The sequence below is a fragment of the Homo sapiens genome, chromosome 14 (genome assembly GCF_000001405.40).
Source record: "Homo sapiens chromosome 14, GRCh38.p14 Primary Assembly".
In the NCBI taxonomy this organism is placed as follows: Eukaryota; Metazoa; Chordata; class Mammalia; order Primates; family Hominidae; genus Homo; species Homo sapiens.
Window position 1 is genome coordinate 104,361,806 of NC_000014.9, and position 9,012 is coordinate 104,370,817.

General features: G+C 55.6%; 1 annotated feature.

Moving 5' to 3' along the window:
• Positions 8,301–8,802: an enhancer, noted in NCBI's record as "H3K4me1 hESC enhancer chr14:104836443-104836944 (GRCh37/hg19 assembly coordinates)". NCBI's record gives its function as "activates a minimal SCP1, AML or CMV promoter by ChIP-STARR-seq in primed H9 embryonic stem cells {active_cell/tissue: H9 hESC(primed)}" and the evidence as "EXISTENCE:reporter gene assay evidence [ECO:0000049][PMID:30033119]".

The following is a 9,012-nucleotide window of genomic DNA, read 5'->3' on the forward strand; positions in this document are numbered from 1 at the left end:
TCTGGGGAAACTGGCTGAGGAGACCTTGGAGCCCACTGGCCAGGGATGAGAACAATGCTTTGGGAGAGCCTGGGTTCTTGCACTGGAACCTCTGGGCTCGGTTCTGTGGAAATTGTTCTGAGAATCTGCCCTTGATTTGGCTGCTCTGGAGCATGGTGGCGGAGTCTGGGTGAGTGCCAGGCCCTGCTCCCACCCACCATTGCTGTTCTGTGTGGTGGGGACTGAGGCTGAGAAGCCGAACACCAGCCAGAGCCCACAGGACTCACGTGGCAGGGGCAGGGCAGCCTGGTGCCCGAGCTCTCCTTGGCCCATCTGGAGAAGGCTGGGCTGGCCAGGAGGTGGGGGGTCGGGTCCTGGAGCCCTCAGCCAGGGTAGAAGGAGGCCAGGGCCTGCATCCCCTGCTGTGTCCCTACTGGGGAGTGGGTGGGCAGGAGCCCTGGCCATCCAGGGCGTGTGGTGGCCCCCGGAGCAGTCGCACCCTCATTCCTCACAGGTGGGCCCTCGTCCTCCAGAGAAACTGCAGCTGCTTTATGAGGCCAGCCCGGCGGTGCAAAGCACTGGGGTGATAAAGGAGGGCAGGGCCATTACTTATCGGGTTCAATTGTTCCGGGGCCCTGGGCAGGGAGGTGGGGTCACTGCAGAGCACTCTGACATCTGTGCTTGGGGCTCTGACTGCGGTTGGGGCCTGTGGAGGGGGTGTGGGGGTGCAGGGCTCCTGAGAACCCAGGAAGCAGCGAGAGGAATGTTCCGGGACCGGCTTAGGCTCTGCCGTTCTGGGTGTTGGAGGGGAGGGCGGCTGCCTCTGCACAGCAGGGCCCGGACCAGGATCTCACAGGTCCCCTGGGAGCTCTTGGACCATAGTGGACAGAAGCACCAGGATTTCTGGGGTCCTGGCTTTGGACCTGGGTGTTCCTCATGTTGACGGGGGTCTCCCACACACCAGGTCCCTTTGTGGCAGGGGGGTCACCCTGAGCTACTGAACCAGCCTCACTTTCCGTAGGAGGCCAGGGGGATAATGGTGCAGGGTCCGTGGCTGTGGGCTTCATGCTGCTGGGGGCCAAGAGGAATAACCAGCGATGACATCAGAGCAGGTATGCAGGAGACGCTGCCTGGGTCGGCACCCCGTGCCTCAGTTTCTCCATCTGCAAAAGGAGTGACAACACTCCAGACCCCACAGGATGACTGACTTCAAGGGGGAAAAGGGACTCCAGCCTGGCCTTTACTCCGAATCTCCGGACAACAGCAGGCACTGGCACCAAAGACACCACCCCCTCCTGCGGAAGTGGATTTCCAGCGCGGGCAAGTGGAAAGTGCTCATGGGGGTGGGGGTGTCTGCCACTGCAGAGCTCGTTCTATGAGGGGCCTCGTTCCTTCTTCCCACCAGCCTCTGCTGTGGGCATCTGTATCAGCCCCACCTTGCTGGGGAGGAGGTGGAGCTCTGCCTGGCCCAGGAGAGGGGCTTGGCCTCCAGCACACCTGGGTCTGGGGCCCTGCCTGGGCTGCCAGGGCAGCTTGGGGGACTACGTGAGGTCACCTGTTCATTTTGCAGGAATTCATGGCCCTACGCTGTACAGGATCTTCTCTGGGCTCTGGGAACATAGCAGGTGTCAACAGCAGGTGGGAGCCTGCACCCTCCTGAGAGAATGGGGGGCTCTGTGCCCTCCACACTAGGCACAGCTCTGCGGCGCCCGCCGGCTAAAGCCACATCTTGGTTAATTCCCACCAGCTGTGGGAAGTAGGAATACCCATCCCATTATAGTTGGGAAAATAGACTATCCCTGAACATCCCTGGTGTTCAGTGCAGTGTCCCCTCCTCTAGGAAGCCTTCCTGGGCTCCCAGCTGGGGTCTCAGCCCCTCCCAGCATGTCAACTCTGAAGTCTCGTGGTGACTGTCTCCACGGAGCACTTTTGAGGGAGTAGGCTCTTTTCTAACAGACTTCTAAATATCACATCCCTTTGTCCCCTGCACTATCTCCCCAGGTAGGGACTATCAGTACTGCCACTGACAGCTGGAGGACTTGAGGCACAGAGCAGTTATTACCCTAGGTTGCTGAACTAGGAAAGGGCACAGCCAGGATGGACTCTCCAGCAGCCTGGCCTGGCGTCAGGATGCTCGACCCCAAGAAAGTTCTGGAACTTCCCTGTGCTCTCCCTCTGGCTGCTCCGTGTGGGGCTCCGACTCCCAAGAGCCCCGGGGCTGCTGTGGGCAGATAATCAGGAAGCAGACATTCAACTACAAAAGCAAACATTGACCAAGGCAGGCAGCAGGGCCTATGGCGTGGGAGCGCTACCTGGACCCCTCACAGACTGCCGGGTGGGGCTGGGGGCCGGGGACACCAGGAGCCGCCCACTGACCTGTGTGTCTGCCCTGTGGCTCCGTCTGTCCTGGGGTGCCTTTCTTTCCTCCCTGTCAGGCCACACACATGAGGAGCCAGCTCCCATGCAGAGGGCCCCCTCATCGCCCCACATGGACACACCTACTTTCCATTGTCACCTGTCAGCATGTCCGGGCTGTGCTCCAGTCCTGACTGTGGCCCTGATCCCTCTGGGACTGATCCAACCCCTCCCCCTTCTGCACCAACTACAGGAAGAAGGGCTTCCACTAGGCCAGCACCCAGGGCTCCTCAGGCCCCCACTCTGAGCCACCGTGTAGCGTGGGCTCTGAGGGAGCAGGGTCAGTGGGAGCCGGCAGGGACAGAGTGGCCCTAGGATGTGCTCTGCCGAGAGAGGGGAATTGAGTCACTGCGTGGGGTCTTCCATGGTGCCCTGGAGGGCACTTGGAGGAAGCTAACTAGAACAAACTGGGCACTGTCCACGTCGCTGGGCTCAGCAGGGGTCACCCTTCCCAGGGTGGGGACTATGAGGTCTTCACTCAACTGTGATGCCACACCAGATTATCTTGCTATCCAGCATGTCCTCAGTCTGAACTGTGCTCTGACCAGACAATCACACCAAGACCCAACTCCCCCACACAATGCGACTGAGATCTGTGTTTTTGGAGATGATTGCCTGATTTCTCCCAAAAAGGGTTTTAACTTTTCATAGACAGGGGGATTCTAGGAGCCTCATGACTTTCCCTAATTTTCCCTCCACCTCCAACACGTACCTGCCCACCTCGTCCAAGCCCCGGGCTTGACAGGTGTCCCCTCTGAGAACATTACTGCACTGACTTTGTCCCCGAGGGTGAGGTGAACCGCTGGGGACTGATGCCAGGGACTGGGGAGTGGCCGTGCCCTGAAGGAAGGTCAAGGCACAGGAGTCATGTAACGCACCTTCTCCAACCACAGCACAACCATGTGAGGACTGATGACAAGAACGGAGTGGAAAATACCCGGCCATCTGGGAATTACAAAAACAACCCATCAGCCAAACAAGAAACCATAATGGAAACCGATATTTGGAACTGAATGATGAAAAAGTACTTCACAGTAAAACTTGTAGGATCCACCTAAAATTGCATGGAAGGATAATTCTATGGATTTAAATGGTTATATTAGAAAAGAAGGATGTCTGAAAAGTAATGAGCCGAACATCCAGCTCAATAAACTAGAAAAAGGGGAACAAAGAAAGAAGGAAATAAAAAAATAAGAGCAGAAATTAATGAAATGGAAAACAATATACAAAACAAAGGAATAACTAACGCCAGAAGCTTGATCTTTGAAAGGACATCAGTTTTAGTGATCTGTTTCATTGCAGTGACCGCAGTTAATAATAATGCATTTTATGTTTTTAAATTCTTAAAAGAATAGATTTTAAATGTTTTCACCACAAAAAATAATGTGTTGATGAGGTGATAGATATGTCAATTAGCTTGATTGAATCTTTCTACAATGTATACATAGAATAAAACATTACATTGTACCCCATAAGTATACACAATTATTAATTGTTAATTAAAAATAAATAAAATGTAAAAAACCTGTAAAGCCCTGGTAAGTCAGATCAAGAAAAATGTGAGAAAGCATGAATAGCCGGTATTAGGAATGAAAAAGAGAACATCTCTACAGATCTGATAGATCTCTAAAATTTAAGAAGAGAAAAAATTATAAGTGAATATTATACTATTATTATTATTATTATTATTATTTTGAGACGGAGTTTCCCTCTTTGTTGCCCAGACTGGAGTGCAATGGTGTGATCTCAGCTCACCACAACCTCCGTCCCCCGGGTTCAAGTGATTCTCCTGCCTCAGCCTCCCGAGTAGCAGGGATTACAGGCACGAGCCACCACGACCAGCTAATTTTGTATTTTTAGTGGAGATACAGTTTGTCCATGTTGGTCAGGCTGGTCTTGAACTCCCGACCTCAGGTGATCTGCCCGCCTTGGCCTCCCAAAGCACTGGGATTACAGGTGTGAGCCACTGTGCCCAGCCATAAGTGAATAGTATTAATCGATTCATGTCAATAAGTTTGAAACATTTGATGAAGTTAACAATTTCTAGAAAGAGGCATTTATCAAAATTGCCACAACAAGAAATGGAAGACCTGAAAAATTCTTATCTATGACTATTACAGAAGTTGACTTTATAGTGTTTCTTCCCTAGAGAAAACTCTAGGCCCAAAGAGCCTTCATTCAGAACTTTGATTTAATATTTAAATAAAAAAATGCCATTTTTATACAAACCCTTTCAAAGAAAAGAGGGAGCTCTTCCCAACTTATTTTATCAGGTGAGCATAATCTTAATACAGAAATCCAAATAGGAAAGTATGAGGAAGGAAAATCTCACTCACAAACACAGACACAAGCATCTTACAACCTCAGCAGACTGAATATGGTAATGTGTAAAAAGGATCATGACCAAACATCATGACCAAACTGTCTGCATTTCAGTATTATGATTTTAGTTAAACAGAACATGGATCCAGGCAGCCATGATGAAGGTGGGAGGCAGTGAAACAGCCTCTGCACTACTGAGGGAGGCCAGCTAAGATAGCCTTTGCAGACCAGGAAGAGTTCATGGGAGGTATTCAAGGATTCAGTGATGACACATTGCCCCCTACCCTGTCCGAGGAAAGCAGATAATGACGGACAAGAACAGAGAACTCAAGAAGGGAGAAGATGGCAAGGGGAGCCCCTGAAGAGCAATGGCCTTAAAGATACTCCCCAAAATGCAAAAAAAAAAAGGAAAAATTATTTTTAAAAATGAAACATTGCAGAATGTCTTCCTTTTCTTTATTCATTCCCTTGTTCCCTCGCCCCTGCTCACTCACTCATTCCACAAGTACTCACTGACCCCATCTCTGGGCACAGCTGGCTCAGGGGCCCAGGCCCCCTCCTGAAGGAAGAAGTTCACACAGATCTGCGACTGGGGCTCCCAGACTCCCACTTCCTCCTCTCACTGTCACCCCTCTTGTGGGCCTTACTCCTTTAGGGGCAGGGCTGGGAGAAGAAGGGGCCGGGTGACACTGGTGTGGGAAGGGGAAGCAGCTAGGGGCATCTCTAAGGCTGCTCTGAGCTGGCCCAGGTGCTGCTGGTCAGCATGAAACAAAGCTGGCCTGCCCAGGCCTGCTGCCCTGCAGACAGCCCCCATTTGGGTCACAATGGCCGTGGCCATGGTGGAGGGGCCCTGCCCTTGCCACCTCCACTGCGTGCTGATCATTCCCATGCCCTTTGTGTCCTTGAGCTGCTGTTGTTCCCCAGAGCCCCACCTCCCGAGAGAGCCCCTGAGAGGTCGGGACAAGAATTGGCCAGGGGGTAATGGGTGCCCAGCCCCGAGACAGCAGGGGGTGCTTGGGCTGGTCTTCAGCCCACCTGGGCCCACTTCCACCTCCTTCAATGGTGGGACAGGGAACCCCCAGTCCTGCTGGCCAGAGCGGATCCCTGTGGGGACCTCAGTCAGCCACCCCAGAGTGGATCCCCATGGGGACCTCGGTCAGCTGCCCCCTCTTATGTCTTTCAGCCAACGCTTGCCAGGTCCAGCTCTGCCTCAGGCTGGGCGGGCAGCAGGGTGACAGGTGTAGCAGCTCGTTGCACCACATCCTGGACCCTCGAGCTTGTCCCGGGGGGCTTCTGCACCCCACGCCAGGAAGCTCTTCCCATAGGAAGCCTCAGGGTGAGTGGGCGCCCTCGGAGATAAACACGGAGCCCAAGCACACGAGCTCCGGCCTAAGTGAGGATAAATCTCCATGACAAATGTCTCCTCGAAAGCCCGGAACAAAGGCCGCGGCGTGTTTATCCACCCTAAAGGCCGCGCAGACAGCCCAGACCCCGGAAACAGCCAATCGTGTCGAAATTGATGGCCCACTCAGGATGCCTCATTTATTACCAGAGATGTGATAGAGACGCAGGCAGGCGTGACCGGGAGAGGCTGCAGGCGGCCAGGTGGTCATGGCCTCCTGCCACCCAGAGGGCTTGGGCTCCACCCTCGGCCACTCAGCCTTCCGCCCAAGGACAAATGGGGTCAGGGCAGCAGCTGTACCTGGCGAGAATGCACTCCCTTCCTGGGGGGCCACTTTTTTCCAGGAGTGCATGGCCCTGGGCTGGCTGCTGAGACCTGTGCCCAGCCCCTCCGTGGTGGTACTCTCGTCAGACACCAGCCTCTGCGGCACCCAGGTGAGAGGTGGTGGTGCTGGGGGGCCCCACCCATGCTCTTGTCCTGTGAAGTGGTCCCAGGGTCTCCTGGGCTCTCCAGGCCCATCCGCCGCCTGCCCGCCTGCCAGCAAATCAGCTGTGGGCAAAAAGGGTACTTTTGGTTCCCGTGGTGATGGCCCATGAAGATGGAGCTCTGGCCCTGCAGACCCCCTCCCACCGCCTGGGCACCTGCCTGGAGGGGCCGGGCTTTCACAGCAGGGAGGGACAAGGCGGAGGAGCGGCTCCTGTTTTTTCTTGCGTGAGGCCTGGATCTGATTTGCACAATGATTTCATTGTGTGGAAATGTGCCAGCACCTGGCTCTGACGCCAGACCACCACGAGTGGCAGCTTCTCCAGGACATGCTGACATGTGACGAGGGGGTCCTGCATGTGGAGGGGCAGTGGTGGGCTGTGAGGCTCGAGGTTCAGGCGACCAGCAGCGGGTGTGGGGGCTCCTGTGGTCCCAGAGTGCGTGACCGTCAACCAGAGCAGGGACCCCCACAGAGCCTCCCAGTTAGGGCCCCTGGCAATGGCTGTGGGGGGCTGCATGGAGGGGCAGTGGCCCAGGGTCTGTGGCGGTGTGTGCCGGGCACAGCAGTCTCGCCCCAGCTCCATCTGCTCCCCTCCTCTGGAGGAATGGAAATGGGACCCCTCCTGAGCCCAGGCCTCGCCCAGGGCTGGCACCTGGAGGGTGAGGCCCCCTGCCCTCAAGCCTCCCCAGTGACCTGCTGCCCCCAGGGCGGAGCCTGCCTGAGGGGGAGGCAGCGCTCAGCCCTGAATGAGCTGTCAACTGCTGTGTCACAAATTGCCCCAAACTTAGCATCTGAAAACAACACACATTGATTATTTCCAGTTTCTGGTGGTCAGGGATCTTGACATGGCTTATCTGGGGTCTCTGACTGGGGTCTGAGGGATCGGCAGAGGAGCAGGTTCCCCCTGTAGCCAGGAAGATGCTGCGTGGAGGTGGGGCAGGGTGCAGGTCCACTGAAAGGGAGCATGAATCTGCTCTGCACGGTGGCCCCAGGCAAGTGGGGGCTTGTTGCAGTGGGGACACAGGATGGCTTTTCCCGTGTACCCCAGAAGTCCACACTCCCCTGGTGCAATCTTCTCCAGGGAACGGGTGGATTTATCCGTGGAGATGCATGGAGCCCCGCCGAGCCAGGCCCAGCCCCACCAGGGTCTCAGGAGAGGGCTGGATGTGGGGATTGGGGGAGAGGGGCTTTTCTCTGGGACCTGCAAGTTACTGGTCACTGTCAATCACAAACGGAGCTTTCCTCCATCTCTCCCTCCCCTCACCCCACCCCCAGTCTCCCTCAGCTCCTTCCCCAGATTCTTGGCAGTGCAGCGTCTAAGCAGGGCCTCCAGACAGAGCCCCGCCCTCGAAGGGGCAGGAGGGGCACCCCGCTGTGATCCTAACCCGATCCCCACCACCAAAATCTGCAGGGTGACCCTGGGAAAGCCACTGCCCTTCAAGGAGCCTCAGTTTCCCCATCTCCCATGGGTGATGGGACCAGACTCTTTCCTTCTCTCCTTCAATCGTAAAGCCATCGACATCCTGGCCAGGAGGTGGCCTCCAGTCACCTTTATCGGTTCATTTGCCCATTCATTAAATAGTTGTGGCACCTTTCCTGTAGCGGGTGGCATGGTAGCCCCCAAACATCTGTGTTCATGGACCCAAAGCCTGAGGACCAGGCAATGAGGTCTTAGTTCAAACGAGAGCGTTTGCAGATTTAATAAGGTAAGTAAGGATCTTGGGATGAGATTACCCAGGCCCTAAATCCAAGGACAGGCATCCCCATGAGAGACACACAGGGGGAGGCCACGTGAAGACGGAGGCAGAGATGGAGGGACGTGGACACACACCACGGATGCCCGGGGCCACTGAAGCTGGGAGGGCGGGGAAGGATCCTCCCCCAGAGCGTGCAGAGGGAGGGGTCCGGCACACCTGGATTTCGGACTCCAGCCTCCAGGACTGTGGGGGAGTAAGTGCCTGTTGTTTCAAGCCTCTGAGCTACGGCAGCCACAGCAAACACACACCTTCAATGTGCACCATCTACTGGCAGCCAGGGGACAGCCACTAGAGGGACGGCTCATCTTTAGCAGAGAAATGGACCCGGGAGGGAAGGGACCTTTGGGGCTGAGGGTTCCAGGAGCTGACAGCCTCTCTGCCCTGCTCCCTCCAGGCCCCAGCTGGGCCAGTGTCCTTCAGCTGCTGTGGGACAGCACCTGCCGTCTTCACGCTCTTTCCACAGCGCGGGGTGTGGGGAGGGTGGCCGTGCATTTCAACAACCATCCTCTTGGGATTTTGTCAGGAGTGGCCTGGCGGGCCCAGGCGCTGTCCTGCGTTGGATACCGCACGGGTCCTTCAGCAACACCTGAGCTCGCGGGAGTCTCAAGTAAACTCTGCATGTCGCAATGAGTTTCAGCAAAGCCTCAAGTTAA